We start from the raw sequence: 26,286 nt of genomic DNA, 5'->3' as shown, positions 1-26,286 counted from the left end.
GATCAGAAAATTATAAACCCAAGAATTGGGGCAGTAAACAAAGTGGGGATCTGACCCAGGATCATTTTATACTGACAATCATACCAGACAACAATCACTGAGCACTATGTCCTATCCTAAGCACTTTGCATAAATTAATTCACTAACCTCACGACAGCTCTAAGAGATAGAGCACTTATTATCCCCATTAGGCAGATAAGGAAACTGAGGTACAGAAAGACCAAGCCCTTTGCCAAGGAGGTCACACAACTGTAAGAGTAAAAGCAAGGATTCAAACCCAGATTGTCTGGCTCCAAAGCCTGGGCCCTTGGACACTCTGCTCTGTGATGCATCAGGAGAGTAAGTCCAGGGTGAAGGTGCCACGGGGCAGGTGGGTGGCATGGAGCATGAGGTCCTGAGATTTCACCTGATGCCAAGGAGCAAGTGAGGCTGGGTGTCTGATAAGGGAAAGAAGAAAACTACCAGCAGAGAGAAAGAAACATAAGGAACAGAACAAGGCATTGGAGCTCAGCTTCACTGTCAACAGTATTCCCAAGGTTAAGTCCACTTGGAAGAGCATTTGCCAGACTCGACATCATTAAATAATTCCCAATATGTGCCAGGCCCTATGCTAAGCATGTTGCTTGTATTCTCTTGTTTTACCTTGCACAACAATTCTGTGAAAAGTGTCCCCACTTTATAGCTGAGACAATTTGGCAGTAAGATTAAATAATTTACCCTTGGTTGCAGAGGTAGAAACAGCTGGGACAGGAACGTAGCTTTGTCCGATGCCACCTGTCCCAGATCCCCTTGGCTCCCTTTTATGATTCTGAGCACCAATCTCTAGCTTCTACCTTTTTGTGCTAATGGCCTGTACCCAAGGCTTTATTCCAAGACCTGCCCTTGAGCAACTGGAGCTGCTGTGCCCACTCAGAGCAGGAAGGGTTTGAGAGCTTAGAGCCCGAGGCAGCCCTGAGCCAGTGGGAGCCCTGCTCCTGGTGAAGGCACAACTTCTGCTGCAGAACTCCCCTGCAGGGTCAGGCTACTGCTGGGACATTGCAAGAATCACTCATCAGCCAAAGGATGAAGAGTCCTTTTTATGGTTCAAGGTCAGGCTGCTCCTTTGTTTAGTTTCTTCCTCTTCCCTGTCCCATGTCTCCCACTCCTATCTTGGGCTTTCCTGGGAGCGCCTCCTTAATGAGCGAGTCATTTGTCCTTTTCACTGTGTTTGCTTTGGGGATCCCAACACAGGACACCCCTTGGCCTCTTAACCACCATCCTGTGCTCATAGCCTCATGTTCTGTGAGCTGCTCCACACTCCCACAGGGAGCAGAGGTGAGTTTCCACCCCCAACCCTCTCCCACTGCCTGGATGCTCCACTGGACTTCCCTTCGGCAAATTCCTGGGGCCATGCTCCCAGCCAGAGCCCAACATCTGAGGCTCGTGCCAACCTCCAAGCAGGGTACAGGCTGAACAGGCTTGGGCCAGACTTTGCTGTTCCCAGACGTGAGCAAGCCCAGACACAGCCTACCTCCCAGGGCGTGGGACAGTGGGTTGTGGAGTCAGAGGTGGTTTTCAGGGCCCTGTTGAGACTTGTGGGTGATGTTGAGCCAGATATGTTGGATCAGCCCTGGTGTGTCTGGGGTGAGAGAACCAGACAGACCACTCTTCAGGGAAGCAGGCCAAACCAATAAATAAAGGCTCTGCACAAAAGAATAGGTCTTGGACTAACAAGTTTCCTGAGGAATGAGTAATATGGAGTAAGAAACAGCCACCTAAGGTGCATTGAGTCCAATTTCTCCCATCATTTGGCTGCAGCTCACTGGAGAAAGATGCTAAACCCAGTGATCTCTTTTAGATGCTGACTCAATGATTCCCCTATCTGGGTCTACGTGGACTCAAGACTCAGGACTCATTGTTTGCCACCTCCACTCTTTTTTTTTTTTTAACTTCTATTTTAGGTTCAGGGGTACATGTGAAGGTTTGTTACATAGGTAAATTCGTTTCATGAGGGTTGATTGTACGGATTATTTTCATCACCCAGATATTAAACCCAGTAGCCCATAGTTATCTTTTCTGCTCCTCTCCCTTCTCCCACCCTCCACCCTCAAGTAGACCCCGTTGTCTATTGTTTCCTTCTTTGCGTTCATAAATTCTCATCATTTATCTCCCGCTTCTAAGTAAGAATATGTGGTATTTGGTTTTCTGTTCCTGCATTAGTTTGCTAAGGATAACAGCCTCCAGCTCCATCCATGTTCCCACAAAAGACATGATCTCATTCTTTTTTATGGCTGCATAGTATTCCACGGTGTATGTGTACCACATTTTCTTTATCCAATCTGTAATTGATGGGCATTTAGGTTGATTCTATGTCTTTGCTATTGTGGATAATGCTGCAATGAACATTCGTGTGCATGTCTTTATGGCAGAATGATTTCTATTCCTCTGGGTATAGACCCAGTAATGTGATTGCTAAGTCAAATTGTAGTTCTGCTTTTAGCTCTTTGATAAATTGCCATACTGCTTTCCACAATGGATGAACTAATTAACACTCCTATCAACAGTGCATAAGTGTTCCCTTTTCTCCGCAACAGAAAAATAATAGATTGCCAGCATCTTTTTTCTTTTTAATCATAGCCATTCTGACTGGGGTGAGATGGTATCTCCTTGTGGTTTGATTTGCGTTTCTCTAATGACCAGTGATATTGAGATTTTTTTCATATGCTTCTTGGTTGTGTGTATGTCTTCTTTTGAAAAGTGTTTGTTCATGTCCTTTGCTCACTTTTTAAGGGGATTGTTTGTTTTTCTCTTGAAAATTTGTTTAAGTTCCTTATAGATGCTGGATATTAGACCTTTGTCAGATGCACAGTTTGCAAAAATTTTCTCTCATTCTGTAGGTTGTCTGTTTACATCGACCTGACCTTCTTACAACACAAAAAGGAAGGGGAGGGGAAGGGCAACTTGACCTGAGATCTAAAGAGTGGTCAGGATCCATCTCTGTGAGCCTCAGTCTCCTCCTCTATGAAGTGGGCCTCTCCCTCCGTCCCTCAGCTTTTTGCCACCCTCCAAAGCTTCTCTCTATTTCCATTCATCTTTTCCTTTAGCACCTTCTTCATCTTTCCCAAGCCCTCCCTCCCCCATCTCAGAGCGTGAGGAGTCCTTTTGACTGTCCAATCTCAACTCACTCATTCATTTTGCCTGGTCACTTCCTATTCATCTTCGAAGGCTCAACTCAGGCCACATCTTCCCTGGGAAGCCTTTTTGATCTTTTCCCCACTGCTTAGTTACGTTGGTGCCCTTCTCTCTGCCCTCCTTCATCACCTCAAATTTCTCTGTAGTTGCATTAGAGGTTGAGCATCTCTGATCCGAAAATCGGAAATCTGAAATGCCCCAAAATCCAAGACTTTCTGAGTGCCAACATGATGCCATAAGGGAAAAATTCCACAACTGACCTCATGGGACAAGCTGTAGGCAAAAGGCAGTCAAAACTTTGTTTCATGCACAAAATTATAAAAATGTTGTGTAAAATTACCTGCAGACCATGTGTACAAGATATATATCAAACACAAGTAAATTTCGTGTTTAAACTTAGGTCCCCTCCCCAAGATATCTCATTATGTATATGCAAATATTCAAAAATTTTAAATCATCCAAAATCTGAAACATCTCTGGTCCCAAGTATTTCAGATAAGGGGTACTCAGCCTGTACCCCTTTGAGTGTGGATCACTGTGACTAGATTAGACCTTGCACACCATGGTCATGTTATTGCATCTCCGAAACTCCAGGACCTACCACAGTATCTTGGACATGATGAGCACTCACTAAATATTTGTTGAATAAACACCCACCTTGGAGGGGTGTTTGAAGATTAAACAAGATAATAGATGTGAAAACAAACTGTAAATTGCTATTACATTTATACGGTTTTCCATGTATATTTTTATGTTATACAAACGAACATTATCATAAGTATTAATAATATCATAATAGTAATATGTGCCAAAGTCTGGGAAGAGAGATTTGTTCAAAGTTAAATGTTGAGATAATGATCAGAAATACACATCTCTCTATATAACTGTTTATTCATCTCTAAATTCATATCATGAATGACAGGAACTTATTAAAACTCCTAGGTCAAAGATGACAGTTCTGTAAATTATTTGTCCAGTGAGGTGGAGGGGTGCTGGCCTAGGGAATGAATATCACCATCTCTGCCTTGCATGTGTTGAGAATTTTGGACCATTGGTTCTTATATTTGCCATAATAAATTCATCTAAGAAATCAGCCAATGGAAGGAAACAAATGCCATAGGCCCTTCCCTTTATGTTTATTCTCTTTTCTCAGGACAGGCAGTGTCAACGGCTAAACCTGTGTCCTCCCTACTGGGAGGGTGGGGTGCCTGAGGAGGGGGTCATGAGAGTAGGGTGGTTGCTGATCATGAGGGCAGCCCAAGCTCACTGTCACACCCCCGTCAAAAGTCAGCCTGCCAGGTAGAGCTGCCACTTCTCCTGGTGTGAAATTCTGTCTGGTAAATATGTGTCTCCTTCCTTATCATAACAAACACTCAAGGCCAGCCAAATCCAGTGCACAGTGATGCTTGACACGTCTCTCACCTCCTCAGCCAGGACAGGCCTGCTGTCCTTCAGACACATCAGATCACCCTTACTCTGTCCAGAAGGACAGCTAGAAACAGATCCCTCCTTCTGTCATTTTCTTCCCTCTCTCCCTCCCTCCTTCCTTTCCTTCCTTCCATTTTTCCTTCCTTCCTTCCTGCTTTCCTGCCTTCTTTTTTATTTCTTAATAAAACTTTATTTAATTTTTTGAATAGGTAATACGTTCTCAAGGTTGCAAGAAATAATTACGAAAAGACAAAGTAGAAAGTCTCCCTCTTTTGATTGTCACCTAGAAACCTCGGTGCCCACTGTGTATCCTTGCAGAGATTTTTAAAAACTGTGCCTACAAACATATTTACATGCTGATAGGATTATATATCCCTGACTCCTGGAGTCCTTTTTAAACAAAGGTAAATATTTGTAGAGTGATACATAGTGTTCTGCTTCTTAGTTTTCTCAGTAAATGATATATCTTAGAGATGTTTCTACATGAGACTATGAAGAGCTTTATCTTTTTTTAGAACTGTATAGTTTTCTTTTTGAGACAGAGCCTCACTCTGTCACCCAGGCTGGAGTACAGTGGCACGATTTCGGCTCACTGCAACTCCACCACCTGGGTTCAAGCAATTTTCCTGCCTCAGCTTCCTGAGGAGCTGGGTTTACAGGCACATGCCACCACGCCTGGTTAATTTTTGTATTTTTAGTAGAGATGGGGTTTCACCATGTTGGCCAGGCTGGTCTCGAACTCCTGACCTCAAGTGATCCTCCCGCCTCAGCTTCCCAAAGTGCTAGAATTACAGGCGTGAACCACTGCGCCTGGCCTATAACTGTGTAGTTTTCTAATTCATAATTCATTTAATCAGTCCTGAACTGCTGGACATCTACAATGAATGTTGCAACAAATAACTTTTCAACTGTATATCTGTAATTAGAAGTGGAATTGTTGGGTCTAAGTGCAGATATGTTTACAGTTTTGATAACTATCGCCAAACTGCCTGTTATAGAATTGCACCAACATACACTTTCACCAATAATGTATAAGAAAAACAAATTTCTAAAACGTTAAAATAGAAATAATTTAGCTAGGTGCAGTGGCTCATGCCTATAACCCCAGCACTTAGGGAGCCCAAGGCAGGAGAATCACTTGAGACTAGGAGTTCCAGACCAGCCTGGGCAACCTAGCGAGATCCATGTCTATACTAAAAAATTAAAAAGTTAGCGAGCATGTAGCACACACCTGTAGTGCCAGCTACTCGAGAGGCTGAGGTGGGAGGATTGCTTGAGCCTGGGTGGTCAAGGCTGCAGTGAGCTATGATTGCTCTACTACATTCCAGCTTGGGTGACAGAGCAAGACCCCATCTCAAAACACAAAAAAGAAAAAGAAATTATTCTACTACCAATTTTCATGTATTAAGCTAGCACAGTGGTGGTGTTACATTTTTATCTTAATCTCCACCACAACTTTCAAGGTAGGTTATTTTTGTTATTATCAGAGGGGCAATCCAAGAATCATTGATAGTAAATAATATTTGACTCTACTATACCCTTTTGTACTACTCTTGGTCTCTTGTCTAGAAGTCAATAAGTCAACAAGTATCCACTATGATCATCACAAGAAGAATACTAACAGCCAGCATTTACTGAGCACTGAATTATGTCAGGTACATTATCTTGCTTAATCCCTACAGTAGCCTTGCTATGGTTTGAATGTCTCCTCCAAAACTCATGTTGAAATTTAATTGCCATTATTATTGTACTTGGATGTGGAACCTTTAAGAAGTGATTAGGCCATGAGGGGTGTGCCCTCGTGAATGGGTTAATGTTGTTGCAGAAGGAGTGGGTTATTGCAAGAGTGAGTTGTTATAAAAGTGAGGCCAGTCCTCTCTTGCTCACTCTTGTAATCCTCTGCCTTCCATCGTGGAATAATGCAGCATGAAGGCCCTCACCAGATGCCAGCACCTTCCAGAACTGTGAGAAATAAATTGCTTTTCTTTATAAATTACCCAGCCTGTGGTGTTCTGTTACAGCAACACACAACAAAGACAAGCCCCATAACACAAGCTCTGTTATTATCCTCCATTTTTGATCATGGAAAAAACCAAAGGCTGCAAAGATAAGAAGCCCTTGGCTCAAGGTTACACAGCAAGCAGGCCTCAGTCTCAGAGTTTGAGCCCAGGCAGTCTGACTGCACAACCCAAGCCTTGGGCAACACTAAATGGAGATCATAGCTTAGGAGTTTCCAGAACATGCAGATCTTGGCAATCAGCACCTGTAAAACCCTTCATCTACAGGTGGGGAAACTGAGGCCCAGAGGAGAGGAGAAGGGGCCTGTTTAGTGGCTATGCTGGGTTAGGACGCCCTACTCTTGACTCCCTGACAGTGCTTTTTTCTTTACACCTTGCAGTCACACAATGCCTGTGACATTCTTAGCCCTGGGTTGGTGGAAGTGTAGATGGCAGGTCCAGGCTTCAGACCTGCCTGTCCAGTGAGATACAAACAAAGGTAGCATAGGCACAGCTCACAACACAGCTGGTAAGAACCAGTATCTGGCCAGGAGCCCTGTAGCCCACCTGGCAGGTTCCAGCCAAGGAATCAAAGACCCTGGCTTCTCATGTCAGTTCTACACACTTGCTACCACTTAATACAATTATAACAAAGGCCAATATGTATTCAACATTTACTATGTGCCAGGCACTATAATTAAGCACATTGCTTCACCTAATTGTCACAATAGCCTTCAGCTCAGAGAGATTAAGTGACTTGCTCAGTGTCACAGTCAGTTAGTGGCAGAGCTGGAAACCTGAACTCAGATATTTTTGATGTTAAAACCCATGGTTTTTAGCGGTAGGATAGTGCAATGGTTGGGAACCCTATCTTTGGAGTCACAGAGACTGGTTCTCCCACGAATTATTTGACAAACTGGGAGAAATTAATATGTCTGCACTTCAGTTTCCCTCACTGTAAAAAGGAGATTAATATTGTTGTTGTAGAAGGAATGGGTTATTGCAAGAGTGAGTTGTTATAAAGGTGAGGCCAGTCCTCTCTTGCTCGCTCTTGTAATCCTCTGCCTTCCACTGTGGAATAATGCAGCAAGAAGGCCCTCACCAGATGCCAGCACCTTGATCTTGGACTTCCCAGCTTCCAGAACTGTGAGAAATAAATTGCTTTTCTTTATAAAGCAATTTTATTTACCTATTTTATCAAAGAAATATCTGTACACTCATGTGTACAGATTATTCACAATAGCCAAAATTATTCCCAATAACTAAAATGTGGCAACAATCCAAGTGTTCATTGACAGATGAACAGATAAGCAAAACTGGATATATACATACATGGAATATTGTTCAACCTTAAAAAGGAAGGATCCTTTATAGAGGTTCATACACACACACACAAGGAAATTCCAGTATATGCTACAACATAGAAGAACCTTGAGGATATTATGCTAATTGAAATAAAGCAGTCACAAAAAGACAAATACTATATGATATAGCTGGAGTGGTCAACTTCACAAAGACAGAAAGCAAAATGGTGGGTGCCAGAGACTGGAGGGAGGGGGGAATAGGGCGTTATTGTTTAAAGTGCGTAGAATTTCAGTTTGGAAAGAGGAAGAATTCTGTGGATGGTGTAGTGACAGTAGCACAACAATGTGACTGTACTTAATGCTCCTGAACTGGACATTTTGAAATGGTTAAAATGGTAAATTACATGTATTTTTATATATAATATATATATAAGGTACATGATATTTATATTTAACAAAACAATTTGTTTTAAAAGAAAACAATACCTGTTTTAAAGAGCTATGAGAATGAAAAGAGACTGTGTTCATCTAGCACTTAGCACAGATCTGGCATGCAAGAAGTACTGAATGGGCGGAAGCAATACTTGTTATCCCTACCATTGGTCACCGCTGTGCGTTGCATCTGCCGTGGGTATGTGGGAGACTTCAGGCCTCACATCTATCACAGGTGGGGAGTTTCTGTTGTCTTGCCTGCTTCACTGGGTGGTTGTGATGAGCAAAGGAGGTCTTGTGTTGAGATGCTTCATAACCTTTTTTTTTTTTTAAAGTGAGGCTGGGCACAGTGGCTCACGTCGGTAATCGCAGCACTTTGGGAGGCAAAGATGAGAGGATTGCTTAAGTCCAAGAGTTTGAAACCAGTCTGGGCAACATAGTGAGACCCTGTCTTTACAAAAGAAATTAAAAAATAAGCCAGGCTTGGTGGTGCAATACACGTGGCCCCAGCTACACAGGAGGCTGAGGCAGGAGGATCGCTTGAGCCCAGAAAGTTGAAGTAGCAATGAGTTGTGTTCCTGCCACTGCACTCTGGGTGGGGTGACAGAATGAGACTCTCAAAAGAAAAAAAAAGTGGAGGAATGATTGATCAAGGTGTTATTAACACATTTCTTAGCTAGCTGAACTTCTTGTCTGTCTTCTCTTTGCACTTCGTATTTATCCTATCACTGCACTTGTCACCTTCCCCGGTGGTAACTTCCTCAGGCCTCTCTCCCCCTCACCTGTCATGAAATCCTCAGGCAGGATCTTCCTCATTTCCATATTCCAGCACCCAGGCCAGCATCTGCACCCACACAGAAGAAGCTTCATTTATTTTTGCTGATCTCAGCTGTTCTGGAGACTTGAAACAACTTTTTAGATGATTTTAACCAGAAGAACTTCTGAGGACTGAAGGCAAGAGGTTTGGTTCTGCTTTACAGATTGGCGTCCCCCCCAGGTGCAACTGACCCAGTAAATGTGTAATTGTCTATACCTGCGCAAATGCAGGCTCCTTGATTAACATGCATCGCCCTCTGGGGAAGAAAGGGAAGGGAAGGAAAGGGAAGGATAACTCAGGGAAAGTAGGAAAAACTCTCCTGGACCTCCCAGGAAAAGGTGACTTCAGGACATGGGCTGCCTGGTTGTTTTCAATGGTTTTCATTATTTAGTTTGAGCTCCTGGGGAGTAAATGTTTCTCAGGCATATTTTGGGGATCTAATTCTGGAGTCCTTGAGCTCGAAATAATGCAATAAAATACCTGCTCCGTGGAAGTGAAAATGGCTGCTTCGCAGGCTACCGAAGCTCTCTGTGCACACCCTTCACAGACAGGAGCTTCCAAGAGGTTAGGTAAGGTGTCCAAGGACTCAGAGGGAAAGTGTCAGAACCGGGACAACAGCATACAGTTCCTGGATAGGAGGGATCCCACAACCTGACTGACAGGCTGAGTGTTGCGATGAACTGAGGAACAAAGGCTGCTTCTCTGGAGCAGGCAGGCAGTTTGCATATTAAAGTACAAAGTGTACTGTAATCTCAGCTACTTGAGAGGCTGAAGCAGGAGAATTGCTTCAACCCGGGAGGTGGGGGTTGCAGTGAGCCGAGATTGCACTACTGCACTCCAGCCTGGGGGACAGACAGAGTGAGACTCCGTCTAAAAAATAAATAAATAAATAATAAAAAATACTAAGTGTATTCATCCTAGAGTTTCTGTACCTTTCATGATGGTTGAAGCAGCTAACTTTTGGACTGAACTTGCCCTCCAAACTCCAGACCAGAAATACCACCTATTTGTCATTCTTCCTTTTGACTCATACTAATTCCTCAGCATGTCCTACAGAAGGGAGTGTTGATAAGCCATGAAAAAGAGGAAGAACATATGATGAGGTAGCATGAGGGGCTTTCTTACTCACCAAATGTAAAGGAACAAGCTTACTCAGCCAGTCTTAATGATTAGCAAGGGACTTTCTCAAGGAAGAAAAGAAAATGGCCGCCACAGTGCTTTCCCCTCACAGTGCACAATTTGCCAATGAGTTCAAAGTGTCTCCGTAACTTCATGCCATTTCTTCTGGTAAGGTTTGGGGGCAGTCAGGGAGGGGTGGTAATTAGTGTTAGATGGGCATACCGAAATAAGGCATAGAGAGGATAACTGGTTTGTTCAGGGGCACACGGCAAACCCATGAAGTCAAACTCAAGTGGCGTCAGGGAGCGCTCAGGCTTCTTCCTGCCTCTAGAAGATTTCACAAGGCCAGGAAGCCAGCAGCCCTAGGGTCAAGTGAAGGGGAGGCAGCTCTGGGACCCACCCAAGAGCAGTTTCTGGTCAGGCATTCCTGGCAACTTGTGGTACCTCGGTCCACCCACGCCTCCTCCACGATGAAAGCTGATAGGCAAGGCCAACGGTCCTCTGGGGCCAGGCAGTGCCTCCGGCCTGGTTTAGGGGGCACTGAGAGGTCTCCCTTCTAAAAATATCTCCCTCCCTTTTCCTGCTGTGGAAGCTGAAGTGGTCACATGCAAGGCTTACTCCCGTGGTTTGAAGCATTATAGTCCCAGTAGATCTGATTTAAAAAATAAATGCCATTATGAGTGGACCAAACAAGTATTACCACACCGTAACATGGGACTTGGCATTTACTTATACCTCTCTCTAAATCCAAAGAAGGATTTGAGAGTATCACACATTTATTTCTCAGATGAGCCAGCTGAGGGAAACAGACCCTGCCCTGGCAAATCCATGGGGCAGCTAGAGAAAACCTTAACTCTACCTAGGACATTTCACTCTCCTGCCCAACACACGCCAAAGCTTCCCGTTGCACCTTGAAAGGAATCCAAACCCAGGATCTTCCCAGGCTCTCCCTGACCCACTCAGGCCCTTGCCTGACTTGCCTCTTGCATTCCATACTTGTTCTCCCGTCTTGTTCTTCACACTCCCACTTCACCTCGCAAGTGCAGCTGTCCTTCCTCCCACTGGGACTGTACGAGCTGCCCCTTCTGCTGGTAAACCTCTCCCCTGTGCTCCTGGTTCCTCTCTATCCCTTAAGCCTTGACTTGAAATGCCACCGTTTTTGTGGCCTCCCTGACCGTGCCACCTAAGGAAGGGGTTCTCTCTTGTCTTTGAAAATATGCTGCTATTTTCCTCCACAGCATTTCATATAATTTGAACGTGCGTGTATGTGGGCACAGTCTATCCTCATTATTTGCAGGTTCTGTATGTGTGAATTTGTCTAATCCCTAAAATGTATTTATAACTCCAAAATCATCACTTAAACCTCAAGGTCATTTGCAGACACATGCAGAGCTGCAAAAGATTTGAGTCACCCAATGCACCCATCCCCAGCTGAGATCCAACAAGGAGACACTTTGCCTTCCTGTTTCTGCTCTCATGCTCTCAAACAAGTGTCCTTTTCATGGTCAGTTTAGTGCCAAACATTTATAAAACAATTTGGTGAAAAACATTTAGGCTGGGCATGGTGGCTCATGCCTGTAATCCCAGCACTTTGGGAGGCCAAGGCAGGTGGATCACAAGATCAGAAGTTTGAGACCAGCCTGACCAACATGATGAAAACCCATCTCTACTAAAAATATAAAAATTAGCCTGGTGTGGTGGCATGCACCTGTAGTCCCAGCTACTGGGGAGGCTGAGGCAGGAGAATCATTTGAACCTGGGAGATGGAGGTCACAGTGTGCCGAGATCACACATTGCACTCCAGCCTGGGCAACAGAGAGAGAGAGTTAAAAAAAAAAGAAAGAAAGAAACAAAGAAGAGAAAAACATATAGAAAATTTTTTTTTTCAGCTCACTGCAGCCTCCGCCTGCCGGGTTCAAGAGATTCTCTCATCTCAGCCTCCCGAATAGTTGGGACCACAGGGATGTGCCACCACATCTGGCTGATTTTTGTGTTTTTAGTAGAGATGGGGTTTCACCATGTTGGCCAGGCTGGTCTCAAACTCCTGACCTCAAGGGATCCACCCACCTCAGCCTCCCAAAGTGCTGGGGGATTACAGGCATGAGCCACTGTGCCTGGCCCACATTTTCAAGATTTTTGTTGATGGTGTCACTGCTTGTTTCAAATGGCCCCAAGCATAGTGCTTAAGTGCTGCCTAGCATTCATGAGCATGAGAAGGCTGTGTTGTGCCTCACAGAGGAAATGTGAGTATTAGGTCATATTCACTCAAGCATCTTGTATTGCTATTGGTATTGAATTCAATGTCAATGGATCAACAATGTGTATTAAGTAAGGTGTCTTTAAACAAGAACACACATAAAACAAGGCTACGTATTGATTGATGGAACTAGAGGCTCACAGGAACCTCAACCTATATTTACTGTAGGATCAATGGTTCAGTATTCACTAATTCAGTGCTTGTAGTGACTTTATAAAACATAGCTACTGTGAGAAGTAGAAATACCACTTGACCCAGCCATCCCATTACTGGGTGTATACCCAAAGGATTATAAATCATGCTGCTATAAAGACGCATGCACACGTATATGCACTGTGGCACTATTCACAATAGCAAAGACTTGGAACCAACCCAAATGTCCATCAATGATAGACTGGATTAAGGAAATGGGGCACATATACACCATGGAATACTATGCAGCCATAAAAAATGATGAGTTCATGTCCTTTGTAGGGACATGGATGAAGCTGGAAACCATCATTCTCAGCAAACTATCACAAGGACAAAAAACCAAACACCGCATGTTCTCACTTATAGGTGGGAATTGAACAATGAGAACACTTGGACACAGGAAGGGGAACATCACACACTGGGGCCTGTCATGGGGTGGGGGGAAGGGGGAGGGATAGCATTAGGAGATATACCTAATGTAAATGACGAGTTAATGGGTGCAGCACACCAACATGGCACATGTATACATATGTAACAAACCTGCATGTTGTGCACATGTACCATAGAACTTAAAGTATAATTAAAAAAAAAACATAGCTACTGTGAAAAATGAGAACCATCTGTATTTTTATTTTTATTTATTTCTTTATTTTTTTGAGACAGAGTCTAGCTCTGTTGCCAGGCTGGAGTTCAGTGGTGCGATCTCGGCTCACTGCAACCTCCGCCTCCTGGGTTCAAGCGATTCTCCTGCGTTCAAGCGATTCTCCTGCCTCAGCCTCCTGGGTAGCTGGGATTATAGGCATGCACCACACAGCTAATTTTTGTATTTTTAGTAGAGACAGGGTTTTACCTTGTTGGCCAGTATGGTCTCGATCTCCTGACCTCGTGATCTGCCCACCTCGGCATTCCAAAGTGCTGGGATTACTGGTGTGAGCCACCGTGCCCAGCCCATCTATATTTTTGTAAGTTTCTTAGGGATGCTGTAGTAAATGCCACACACTTGGCTTACAGCAACAGAAATGTCTTCTTTTCTAGTTCTGGAAGCCAGAAGTCTGATATCGAGGTGTTAGCAGCTGGGCCAGGCTGCCTCCATAGAGAAAAATCCTTTCTTGCTTCATCCTAGTTTTTAGTGGTTTGCTGACAATCCTTGGCTTTCCTTGGCCTGTAGCTACATCTCTGCCTTGGCCATCACCTGTCATTCTCCCTGTGTGTGTCTGTCTTCATGTCCCTTCTCCCTTTCTTGTAAGGATACCAGCCATACTGGATTTAGGGCCCACCCTACTCTGGTACGGCCTCATCGTAACCAATTACATCTGTGAAGACCCTATTTCCAAATATGATCACATTCTGAAGTTCCTAGAAGGACATACATTTGGGAAGAGGACCGTATTCAATCCAGTAATACACATACATGAACACATAGTGTTTATTTAATTCATATATTTTTCCCCAACCAGAGAGCAAGCTCCATGAGATGAAAACAGTGGCTTTCTTAGCATCCTTTTATCCACAATACCAAGGCCAACCTGATACATGGTAGGAGCTCAGTAAATACTTGGTGAGGAAAAATGGATGAACCAAAGAGTGAATTTCAAAATTCATTAGAATGTTAGAGATTCTTGAACCAGCAGTGATCCAACTCTCCCAGAACCCTAGGCTTCTGATCTATCAGGTCAGACTGAGGAAGAGGCCAAGTGGGTGGGCTTGCTGCCCTCAGCTCCCTCCCTACTCCATTTCAACCGGTTACCCTGCTGTATCTGTTTTATATATCCTGCTTCTAGGCAATATTGTTTTTATAAAAGTGCCTTAAAGGGTTTTAAAAGTGTTGGCCGGGCAGGGTAGCTCACGCCTGTAATCTCAGCACTTTGGGAGGCCAAGGCAGGCAGATCACCTGAAGTCAGGAGTTCAAGACCAGCCTGGCCAACGCGGTGAAACCCCGTCTCTACCAAAAATACAAAAAATTAGCCAGTGTGGTGGCAGGTGCCTGTATTCCTAGCTACTGAGGCAGGAGAATCCCTTGAGCCTGGGAGGCAAAATTTGTAGTGAGCTGAGATTAGGCCACTGCACTCCAGCCTGAGCGACAGAAAGACACTCTATCTACAAAAAAAAAAAAAAAAAAAAAAAAAAAAAAAGAAAGAAAAAGAAAAAAGTGAGGAAACCCCTGAGCCTAGCTGCCTATTTTATAGATGAGGAAACTAAGATCCAAAGACCTGAAGATGCCTGCCCCTCGTCACCAGTGTGTCACCAGTCTGTCATGGTGGAAGCAGGGCTAAGACTCAGGTCTTCTGAGCCTTATTCCAGAAGTTTTGCCTTTATGCTTGCTCTCCTGCCGAGATATACAATGGGAGTAATTTGGTGTTTGCCCTCCCCTGGGACCCTGTTTTTCTATCTGGAGCAACTTCTGAGAGAAGAGAATGGAGTCCTTGGCATGTGCCCCTTCCCCATAGCTCTGAAAGACGCTTTGTGCCAAGTTCCTTGGACATTCCACAGGCTAGTTCTAGGCAAATCCATCTGCCAGCAGGTCACAATCCTAGCCTTCAACTCTGAGCTGAGATATTTTGTCCTTTCTGCTGTTAAATGAACCCTTTGCTTTCTTGGAAGCTAAAGCAAAGTGAGGGAGGCCAGGCTCAGAGGACCTGGGGCAAAGCGCTTGGGCTGGGCTGGAGTGAGCTGGGGTGGACTGCCAGGGGAGATGGGTCTGTTTTGCAGACCTGGCTCGAGAAAAAAAGAAAAAACTGTGCTGATTATCTCCCAGCCCCAGCTGCAGAAATGCCTTAGCTCGGCAGCAGCAGATTATAAATAGCCCAGAGTCCACTCCCAGCCGCCTGAAAAGAAGGATATTTTTTTCATGTTAGAAGAACGGGGCTTTAGAGCTATCCTGGGCCCCCTTCTCAACCCCACCCCCAAAGAGCTGTGATTTATGTCTTAGCACCATTACTGGGACCAAGGATCACATAGCCCCGATAAACAATGATTAATTCATTGCCAAGTTCCATGAAAAAGAAGGCATTCCTTTGGAAGTCATCTCTTTCACTTTGGCACAGACATGCTGACCCATGAGACCAGAGGGGCAGTTGCACTGCAAGTTCATCACCCTGTGTTTCATCAGGCCCTCTCTGCCCTTGCTCATTAAGGGGCTTGGGAATGGCAGGTGGCTCACTGACCTGGAGGGCAGGTGGGGGCAGACTACTGGAGAAGAACTGGTCTGAACTTGACTATTTGCTGAGATGCTCTGGAATGAAAAAACCAGGGACGCGGGACTGGTTCATTCACATTTGACTTACTCTCTCTGGAGGGAAATCAGCCTTTATCTTGAGGAAATCAGGAATTGGATCTCAATGCAAATGTCCTAGAGATTTTTGGACCAGCTGGCTCACTCACTGGGACCTTAAGTTTGAATGGCAAGTCCTAATGTACAAAGCACTTGTCATGTCCTGCTTTCCTCTGACCTCTACAACAACTGTTTTGCTTGTTTTGTTTAGTTTTCTGAACTCAAAGATAATCCTTGCTTATTGTGGAAAAGGTTAGGCATTTCAGAAAAAACAAAAAGAAGAAAAAGAAGCCCACCCAAATCCCAACACACTGAAACAGTAATATTTTCATGAATATCCTTCCAGACCTCTCTTATTGGATATATGAATGGATATGAATTATGAATTTACCTACATGGGACTGTGTTATTGTATTGGTTAGGCTCTTGGCAGAAAGAGATGGAATACTCAACTGGGTAACTGAGGAGAGTTTAATAAAGGAACTATTTACATAGATGTGGGCAGAGGTTAGGAAAACCAGCAAGGAATAGTGTAGTACATCAGGGCTAGCAATGGGGGAGAACCATTAACACCCTTAGGGCTGAAAGGCAATTAGAAGGAGTGGTTACTGCAAATCAGAGCCTGTCAGAAAGTGTAGCCTTCAGTGCAGTCACAACCAGCCCTAGAAAACCAGCAGAGATGGAGTCAGAGGAATAAACACTCTCGCCTCACTCTTCTCCCAACCTCTAACAAGCTCATGTCTCCCATTGGCCAACCCAACCAGAGTTAGAGGGTATGGAAGCCCATTGGCAACAGTACACAGAGTGGATAGGAGAGGCAAGTAGAAAATACCCATGACATCCACTGTAATGCTGCTTTTATCATTCACTGGAAAGTCCAGGAGAAGTTTCTAACTCAGTGAATATGGATTCATATCATACTTTTTTGTGGACCTTACATGAGTGTGCCATCGTTTTTTGTTTTTGCTTTTGTTTTTCTTTTTGAGACGGAGTCTCGCTTTGTCACCCAGGCTGGAGTGCAATGGCTTGATCTCGGCTCACTGCAACCTCCACCTCCTAGGCTCAAGACAGTCTCCTGCCTCAGCCTCCCAAGTACCTGGGATTACAGGTGCCCACCACCACGCCCAGCTAATGTGTGTGTGTGTGTGTGTGTGTGTGTGTGTGTGTGTATTTAGTAGAGATGAGGTTTCACCATGTTGTCCAGGCTGGTTTCGAACTCCTGACCTCAAGTGATCTGCCCACCTCTGCCTCCCAAAGTGCTGGGATCACAGGCTTGAGCCCCAGTGCCCAGTTGAATGTGCCATAGTTTTTTAACTGATCCGTTATTGATGGATCTCCAGCAAGTTTCTAATTTCTCAAGGGCACAGACGATATTGCAATGAGCAGATCTGTAAGTACAAAGCCTTTGTATGCTTAGGATACTTACTTTTGTTTCCTCCTAGATTATTTTTTTAGAAACCAAGGCTCAGAACTGAAGAGATTCACCCTAGTCACATTGTTGAAAAAAACTTCTCATTTTTTCAACAATGAACATGGAGTACTTCTGTAGTAGAAAAAGGAATAATAAATTTTTAGCTTTAAAATGCACCCCATGAATATATATACCCTACTGTGTACCCACAAAAATTAAAAATTAACAAAAAAGGATGCTTCTTCCCTTGAAAGTCCTATCACCCACATGGCTCTGAAAGGGAGGGGACTGGGTAGTCACTCCTCCCCAAGGGCAGCCTCCTCTTTCATTCATTCATTCAGAGCAGGGCCTCGGTGGGTCATGGGGGATATGGGGTGTGCTGAGTCAGGGGGCAGGGACTGAGGAGAGTCAGGCTGGGGCTTACAGCACTGTCCCAGACAGGGAAGACGCCACAGTGAACTTCAGGAGGGGAAGAGAGGAAGTGCGCTGGGCAAAGAGGAAACGATGTCACAGGACACACTTTTGCTGTCTTTGCTGCTGTCGCCTAAGAGGTGGACACAGCTCCCGAGGACTTACGGTGAAAAAAGTGGGGAGGAAATGGCCTTGAAGGTCAGGGGGAGGGAAGTGAGTGTGAGGGGCAGAGAGTGGCAGCCTCTGCCTCTCCCATGCACTTCCTGTTTGCACCTGAGCTTGCTCGCCTGAAAAATGGAGGGGATGCTCCCTCCTGTGCAGGCCTGGCACTTCACAGGTGCTCAACAAATGCATGTTTCTTCCTTTTTTGCCCAAAAGCTAGAAGCCAAGCCAGTCTCCTCACCTGAAAAATGGGAAGAGCAAAATATCCTACCCTAGAGGGTTGCTGTGAGAGCCGAAAGCGTCTATCCACGTGAAGCACATGGGACAGAGCCTGGCACAAAGAAAATGCTTCCCAGTAAGTATTTGCGTTGTTATTATTCATCATGGCCCACCTGGCACGGAGCATGGGCGCAGTGGACGTTTGGCAGAAGAGTTAATGATGTGTATTCATTACCAAAATAGGATAAAATGTGATTCCAAAATGGCCCAAAATCAACAGCACACAAAGGACAAGACATGCCATGTAGCATGCTGCAAAAGAAAGGTTTCTGTGACAAGCAGCCTAACGAGGAGGTGCAGGTGGGCCTGAGCCCAATACCCAGGAGGGGTTAATGCACAGGACATAAAGCAGAAACAGAGAAGGGGGCTATGCAGTCCCAAATCCAGCACTTCTTCTTCTTCTTTTTTTTTTTTTTTTTTTTTTTGAGACAAAGTCTCACTCTTTCGCCCTGGCTGGAGTGCAATGGCATGATCTTGGCTCACTGTAACCTCCACCTCCCAGGTTCAAGCAATTCTCCTGCCTCAGTCTCTCGAATAGCTGGGATTACGGGCGTGAGCCACCACACCTGGCTAATTTTTGTATTTTTAGTAGAGACAGGGTTTCACCATGTTGGCCAGGCCGGTCTCGAACTCGTGATCTCAGGTGATCTGCCCGCCTCGACCTCCCAAAGTGTTGGGATTACAGTCATGAGCCACCATTCCCAGCCCCAGATCCAGTGCTTCTTCGCTGTGTGACTTTGAACAAGACCCTTACCCTGTCTGGCCTTCAGGTCACATTTTTGAAATGGGGATAAATAGCCCAGTTCCCATAGTTACTGTGAGGGTGCAGAGGGGGAAGGTGAGGCATGCCCCAGGTGCCCAGGGAGAGGCAGGCTGGCTGCTAGGGTTGCAGTATTCTTACTGCACTAGGCAGCACCATCCTGGGGCTCTCGTCTGCAGTCCTGCTGCAGGATAGCTCTTTACCTGGTAAGGTTCCTTTGAGCTTCATGATCCAGAATTTCCTGGTCTGGGGAGCTCTGTCGGGCTCAAGAGTGGAGAGCTGTCCTGTGCCAGCAGAGCCCAGCTCGGCTGAGTTCCAGGGCTCTGCTGAGAGCCCATCTGCTGGGTCTGCCAAGGCCAGAGCGATGAGATGGAAGTCAGCGAGGGGGTCTCGGGGTCTGAGCTGTGTGTGCCAGGCTGGGCACTGACTTGCTGTTTCCCATGATGTCCCCACAGGCTCCATCAGCCCACCGCCCCCTCTGGCCTTCCCTCAAGAGCAGCCACTGGGCCTTGGTTGCCATGGAGACAGTTTCCCTCAGAGGCTTTGCCTCCCATCTTCTTTTCTTTTCTTTTCTTTTTTCTTTTTTTTTAATTTGAGACAAGATCTCGCTTTGTCACCCGGCCTGGAGTGCAGTAGTGCAATCACGACTCACTGCAGCCTTGACCACCCAGGCTCAAGCAGTCCTCCCACCTCAGCCTCTCAAGTAGCTGGGACTACAGGCATGCACCACCATGCCCAGCACAGGTGGAAGCCGGGATCTTAGAAGATTGTTGTAGTAATCCTGGTGAGATGAGGTGGTGGCTTGGACCAAGATGCTCATGGCCAGTGATGACAAATGGGTGGACTCAAGACCTACTTTGAATGTACAGTCAACATGCTGCTCACCAGGAAGTGGAGTGCAAGAAAATGTTGTCAAGAATGACTCCTAGGCCAGCCACGGTGGCTCGTGACTATAATCAGCACTTTGGGAGGCCGAGGCAGGCGGATCACCTGAGGTCAGGAGTTCAAGACCAGCCTGGCCAAAATGGTGAAACCCTGTCTCTACTAAAAATACGAAAGTTTGCTGGGCATGGTTGCAGGCAACTGTAATCCCAGCTACTTGGGAGGGTGAGGCAGGAGAACTGCTTGAACCCAGGGGGCAGAGGTTGCAGTGAGCTGAGATTGTGCCACTGCAGCCTGGGTGACAGAGTGAGACTCCTTTTTTTGTTTTGTTTTGTTTTGTTTGTTTTGTTTTGTTTTGACAGAGTCTTGCTCTGTCGCCAGGCTGGAGTGCAGTGGCACAATCTCGGTTCACTGCAACCTCCACCCCCTGGGTTCAAGTTGTTCTCCTGCCTCAGCCTCCTGAGTAGCTGGGATTACAGGCACCTGTTACCATACCCGGCTAATTTTTGTATTTTTAGTAGAGACGGGTTTCACCATGTTGGCCAGGATGGTCTCGACCTCTTGACCTCGTGATCCACCCGCCTTGGCCTCCCAAAGTGCTGGGATTATGAGACTCCTTTTAAAAAAAAAAAAAAAGAAAAGAAAGGAAAGGAAAGAAAGAAAAAGAAAGAAAGAAAGAAGGAAGGAAGGAAGGAAGGAAGGAAGGAAGGAAGGAAGGAAGGAAGGAAAGGAAGGAAGGAAGGAAGGAAGGAAGGAAGGAAGGAAGGAAGGAAGGAAGGAAGGAAGGAAAGGAAGAAAGAAAAGAAAGGAAAGAAAGAAAGAAAGAAAGAAAGAAAGAAAGAAAGAAAGAAAGAAAGAAAGAAAGAAAGAAAGAAAGAAAGAAAAAAGAATGACTCCTAGACTTTTGGTCCCAGCCAGATGGTGGTGCTTTTTCCTGAGATGAGGAAGAGAAGGAAGAAGAAAATATTTGGAAACGATACAGAGTTCATCTTTGGACATGTTAAATTTGAGGTGTTAAATGAGAAAATGCACATTTTGAGGTGTCTCCTAAAGAAAATGTCAAGTAGATGTTTTGATAGTCTTTGAATCTGGAGCTAGGGGAGAGATTGAAACTGAAGATAAGGAGCTAAGAATATGTATAGGTCCAATGGCCTGAGTGCGATTCCTACACGGTGAATATAGAAGGCTTGAGGACTGAGCTCTAAGGCCCTCTGGCATTTATAAATTACAATGAGAAGGAAGACCAGTAAAGAAGTCTAAAACCAGTTCAGCAGGAGGAAAGCAATGAAAGAATGGCATTCCAGAAACAAAGGAAAGAAAGTTTTTATAGAATCAGTGGAGTAGGCAGAGTAATGACCCCTGAAAGATGTCAGGTCCTAATTCCCTGACCCTGTGAATATGTGACCTTAGATGGCAAAGAGGCATTGCAGATGTGATTAAGGTTAGGGACCTTGGAATGGGGAGACTGTCCTGCATTATTTGGATAGGACTTAAAAGCAGAGAATATTGCCTGGTTAAGGTCAGCGAGAGAGATGACTACTGAAGAATGGACAGAGATATTTGGTGTTTCTGGCTTTGAAGATGGAAGAAGAGAGCTACAAACCAAGAAATATGAGCAGCCTCTAGAAGTCTCTAGAATCTGGAAAAGGCAAGGAAACAGATTCTTCTCTAGAGCCTCCAGAGAGGAATGCAGCCCTGCCTGCATTTTAGCCTAGTGTGACCCATCTCTGACTTCACCCACAGAACTGTAAAATGATAAATGTGTGTGGGTTTTGTTGTTGTTGTTGTTGTTTTTGAGATGGAGCTTCGCTCTTGTTGCCCAGGCTGGAGTGCAATGGCATGATCTCGGCTCACTGCAACACCCACCTCCCGGGTTCAAGCGATTCTCCTGCCTCAGCCTCCTGAGTAGCTGGGATTACAGGCGTGTGCCACCAAGCCCGGCTAATTTTGTATTTTTAGTAGAGACAGGGTTTCTCCATGTTGATCAGGCTGGTCTCAAACTCCTGACCTCAGGTGATCCACCTGCCTCGGCCTCCCAAATTGCTGGGATTACCTCGGCCTCCCAAGGTGCTAGGTGTGAGCCACTGTACCTGGCCAAATGTGTGTTGTTTTAAGCCATTAACTTTGTGGCAATCTGCTGCTGCAGGAATGGAAAACCAATACAACGAGGCAATGATGAGCTGGTCAAATCACCATCCAATCCCAGCAAAAGGAGAATGAAAATTCTCCAGTGGTTTGGGCAGGATGGAGATCCTTGGAGACCTTCATGGTATTAAATAGTAGTTCAATGAGGATGAAAGCAGATTGGAGTAGACTGAGGAGAACCTGAGAGGGTGGGGAGTAAAGTCTGGGAATAGGTCCATCCTTAGAGGAAATTTGTTAGGAAAGAAAGCCAAGAAGTGTGTATGTGGAGGGGAGGAGCAGAGGTGGGTGTGGGCTCAGGGGAGTCTGCTCTTATTTCTTAAGAGAAGAGACAGTGCTGCATGCTTGTATGCTGGTAGGGATGACCCAGGAGAGAGGCACAAATGTGATGAGCAAGACAGTCTGAGATCTCTCTGGAAGTCCTCTACCCCACCCGTGAGTGCTCTGCAGCCAGGAACACAGGTAGAAGATAGGCAGAAGACCAATGCCTCAGCCCAGCCTCCCTGGAAGATGAGGATCTGTCCCAAACAGTGGGGACACAGGAATCCCAAGTGGAGCCACTCCCTTCTCCAGGTTTGATTCCGTAGCCCCTTGACCCATCCTTTCCATAACCTGTATTCCAGGGGCTGTGAGGTCTCTTGGGCTTCCATTTGCGTGCTTCCCTGAGCAGCAAGGCTGCATCGATCTTGTTCTTTGTGTTTCCCAGCCTTGTTGAGATACAACACACCAAGGGCATTTGATAAATGCTTTGTTAAATAATGATAACGCCACCTCTGTTGAGCACTCACTCTGTGCCAGGGGCTTTACTAACCACAGGTGTGATTTCACATAATCCTGACAAGCAGCCAATCATCTCCATTTTATAGGCAAACAAGTTGAAGCCCAGGGTTACATGGTGGGTAGATGGCAGGGTCAGGACTTGAACCCAGGCAGTCTCGCTCAAGAGGCCCCTCCCATAACCAGCACACCACTTGGCCCATGGCAGGTAACAACTGAAGGTTCTAAGGGAGCCCAGTGGAGGGGAGCTGAGGCCTTGGAGATGACACCCGAGCTTGGGTTTGAAGGATTAGGAAGACTTAGCCAGTGAAAAAGGTGGGAAGAGACCCCCTAAGTGAAGAGGAAAGCATAAGCAAATGTACCAAGGTGGGAGGTTCATGCAGAGTGACAGGAAGCTCCCGAAGCTGCTTCCATGTTGCTGTGTAATCGGAATGTGGAAACGAGAGGGGATGCAGGGTGCAAAGACCAGCAAAGGAAATCTGCTTTATTTTGTAGGCAATGGAAAGCCCTGATGGAGCCCGGTGTAAACTATGCAGGGTGCCAGAGCCCCCACTGACAGCGCTGGTGTCCACATGTGGTCACAGGGATACAGCGGCAGCATCCCAAAGCCCTAGCCTGGTCCATCACCCTCAAAACTGCCTCTGGTTTGTCCAAGTCTACCAGGATTCAAGTTCATTTCAGAAAAGCAGTGGCCAGAAACCAAGGCCTGGAGGGGGCTGGGGAGGTGTCAGGGAAGGGATCAGAGGCCAAGCTCTGTGTTTCCTCAGACAAAGAGAGAAAGCAGGCTGAGAGATGGCGGCAGCATGTGACACCTGGGCCACAGGCCTGGGCAGCAGCCGTGGCAGCCAAGGGGATAATGGCTCTCTTTGTCCTGCGTGTAAATTCTCCGGAAAAGAAAGGATTCCAGGGCCTGCTTCTCCGGCTTGCACAATGCTGGCCGCCTGGGGCCCCACTGCGAGGGCCTGCCATGGCATTCGGGGAGCAGTGAGGCCCCTTCTCTGTCTCGTTCCTTCCAGGCGTGCAGAAGCGGAAAGTCAGGCTGCCGTGCCAGACATTCTGCAGGGGGTTGGGAGGCTGGGCTGAGGCACAGCCTGTGCCAGGAGCTTTGTTTCACAGCCTCGAGGAAACCAAAGCATCTTGAAGCTCTGAATTAGAAAGAGTCTTAGAGAGCATCCATGCCAGCTCTTCCTAATACTTGTCCCACCCCCTACCTTCTCTGCCTACCACTCCCCACTCCCCTGCCTTCAGCAGCCAAGAATGGTTACAAACACAGGCTTTGGAGTCAGAGAGGGCTGAGTTCAAATGCTGACAATGCCACTCACAAGCTATTTCATCTCTATGGGCTTCAGTTTCTCCACCTGCAAAATGGACATAATAGCACCTACTCATAAGATTGTCAATAGGAATAAGTGAGAAAATGCATGTACCATGCTTAATGTGGACACAGCCTCCAGAAGCGCTCAATAAGGGTAGACGGTCCAGTAGGTCACCCAGCCTGTACTTGATTTCCTCCAAGGGCAGGCAATCACTGCTTGCATTCCATTTTCAGACCAAGTTCAAATCTGTCTCTTATACCCTCATGGGTGCTGAGGGTAAAGGGGAGAGGGCCTACATACATTAAACATTTCCTACATGTTACTGTTGCCATAAATTACTCACAGAACTTAAGGGCCTGTCTTAGTCTATTTGTGTTGCTATAAAGGAATACCCGAGGCTGGGTAATTTATAAAGACAAGAGGTTTATTTGGCTCATGGTTCTGCAGGCTGTACAAGAAGCATGGAGCCAGCGTCTGGTCTGGTGAGGGCCTCAGGAAGCTTCCATTCATGGAAAGGGGAAGGAGAGCTAGTGTGCAGAGATCACATGCTAAGAGAGGAATGGGGAGGGGGTGGTGCAGAGGTGCCAGGATTTTTAGCAGCCAGCTCTCATGAAAACTAATAGAGTGAGAGCTCATTTATTACAATGCAAGAATGGCACCAAGCAATTCATGAGGGATCAGCCACCATGACACAAACACCTCCCATGAGGCCCCACCTCCAGTATTGGGGATCACATTTCAACATGAGGGTTGGAGGGGTCAAATATCCAAACCATAGCAGGGCCTGTCCAGGGCCACACAGAGGAAGTGACCAGGATTTGAGCCTGAGTCTTTCCAGCCTTCTGCACCATGATGCCGTAAGGGAAAACTTTATATATGTGAAAACAGCTCCACGGCCCCCTCAGTGTCTTCTCTTCCCCACAGAAAACATCTCCTAGGCCTCAGGGTTTCGTTTTGTGTTCTGCCACCATCCTGGCCCCTATCCTCTTGACAGGCTCTAATTTGTTACTGTCTCTCTTAAATAAATAGCTTGCAGACTTATTCCAGCTGTCTTCTGACCAGTGCAGAATAGGAATGCACTCTCACCTCCTTTATTCTAGGGGCTCTGTTTTTGCTAATAACACCTAAGATGATGTGGCCCTTGGACCATTCACATTATGCTGATGGCTCTCTCATACTTAATGATCTTCAATCTGCAAGAATAACAAGAGCCTTTGTGCTCTGAACAGCTCGTAGCAGTCATTGCAGATCTTCATTTCAGGTAATAGAACCTTCTTCAACTAGTTTAAGCAGTCAAGCCTTTTATATATTTGGTGGCTCACAGAATCTCCAGCAGGGCTGAAGAGTCAGGCGTGGAAGAGACACACCCAGGAACAACTCACCAACCACTCCTGACCCGGCTTCTCCACTGGAGACACCATTGCCATTAGACAAGAATGAACCTGCACACCTTGCTGATGCTGGTGTAGCACTGTCGCTAGAACCTCTGCCTCTGCTCCTCTTGGTCTCCCACATTCAGTACCTCCTTCTTCACCTTGGTCTCTTCTAAGCCTCCGTGGGTGCATTTCAGGGATTAAATGAGTTAATAGATGTATAGTCAGCCTCCAACATGGTTCCAGTAATTCTCACCTCCTGGTATTGTGTCTTTGTATAGGCCCCTCCCACAATGGATAGGGCTGACCTGTGTAACCAACAGGATGTTGCAGAAATGACATAGTGTGACTTCAACACTAAGTCACATAAGACATCGCAACTTCTGCCTTGCTCTTTTGGAGCACTTGTTGTAGGGAAAACCAGCTGCCATGTCATAAGGACACTTAAGCAATGCTCTGGAGAGATCTACATGGCAAAGAACTGAGGCCTCCTGCCAACCCCCAGCACAAATGAGCCAGGCATGCAAGACATCATCTTGGAAAGGGATCCTGCAGCCTCACTTGAGCCTTCAGATGATGCAGCTCCAGCTGACATCTTGGCTGCAACCTCATGAGGGACCCTGGGCCAGCACCACCCAGCCAAGCTGCTCCAGACACCTGATCCACAAAAACTTTGTGAGATAATAAAATAAAATACATTTTAACATTTTTTGCTTACATTTTGGGAGAATTTGTTATGGAGCAATAGATAACAAATATATAACACATGTAAAGACTTAGAACAC

At 45.9% G+C, this 26,286-nt stretch overlaps 1 long non-coding RNA gene across 6 annotated transcripts, besides 4 other annotated features; it reads left to right on the top strand.

Moving 5' to 3' along the window:
- Window positions 1-935: 935 nt before the first annotated feature.
- LOC105375743 (uncharacterized) lies at window positions 936-26,209 on the top strand. 6 transcript variants are annotated; one of them, NR_188058.1, is made up of 3 exons: window positions 936-1,088; window positions 18,189-18,327; window positions 23,308-26,209. It is a non-coding gene; the product is annotated as an uncharacterized LOC105375743 (long non-coding RNA). The 6 variants fall into 6 exon arrangements; NR_188059.1 differs by lacking the exon at window positions 936-1,088 and adding an exon at window positions 10,377-10,436; NR_188063.1 differs by lacking the exon at window positions 936-1,088 and adding an exon at window positions 17,927-17,950.
- Window positions 9,489-10,688: an enhancer, noted in NCBI's record as "BRD4-independent group 4 enhancer chr8:125860005-125861204 (GRCh37/hg19 assembly coordinates)". NCBI's record gives its function as "activates an origin of replication core promoter dependent on BRD2, P300/CBP, MED14 and CDK7 cofactors, and independent of BRD4, by STARR-seq in HCT116 cells {active_cell/tissue: HCT116}" and the evidence as "EXISTENCE:reporter gene assay evidence [ECO:0000049][PMID:35650434]".
- Window positions 10,050-10,344: an enhancer, noted in NCBI's record as "tiled region #6540; K562 Activating DNase unmatched - State 5:Enh". NCBI's record gives its function as "activates a minimal TATA promoter and a strong SV40 promoter by Sharpr-MPRA in K562 cells {active_cell/tissue: K562}" and the evidence as "EXISTENCE:reporter gene assay evidence [ECO:0000049][PMID:27701403]".
- Window positions 10,050-10,344: a silencer, noted in NCBI's record as "tiled region #6540; HepG2 Repressive non-DNase unmatched - State 3:PromF". NCBI's record gives its function as "represses a minimal TATA promoter and a strong SV40 promoter by Sharpr-MPRA in HepG2 cells {active_cell/tissue: HepG2}" and the evidence as "EXISTENCE:reporter gene assay evidence [ECO:0000049][PMID:27701403]".
- Window positions 23,269-23,772: an enhancer, noted in NCBI's record as "H3K4me1 hESC enhancer chr8:125846921-125847424 (GRCh37/hg19 assembly coordinates)". NCBI's record gives its function as "activates a minimal SCP1, AML or CMV promoter by ChIP-STARR-seq in naive H9 embryonic stem cells {active_cell/tissue: H9 hESC(naive)}" and the evidence as "EXISTENCE:reporter gene assay evidence [ECO:0000049][PMID:30033119]".
- Window positions 26,210-26,286: the final 77 nt, after the last annotated feature.

Source organism: Homo sapiens, chromosome 8 (genome assembly GCF_000001405.40).
Source record: "Homo sapiens chromosome 8, GRCh38.p14 Primary Assembly".
Lineage (NCBI taxonomy): Eukaryota > Metazoa > Chordata > Mammalia > Primates > Hominidae > Homo > Homo sapiens.
The sequence above is the reverse complement of the archived record's forward strand: the minus strand, read 5'-3'. Positions and strand labels throughout refer to the sequence as shown.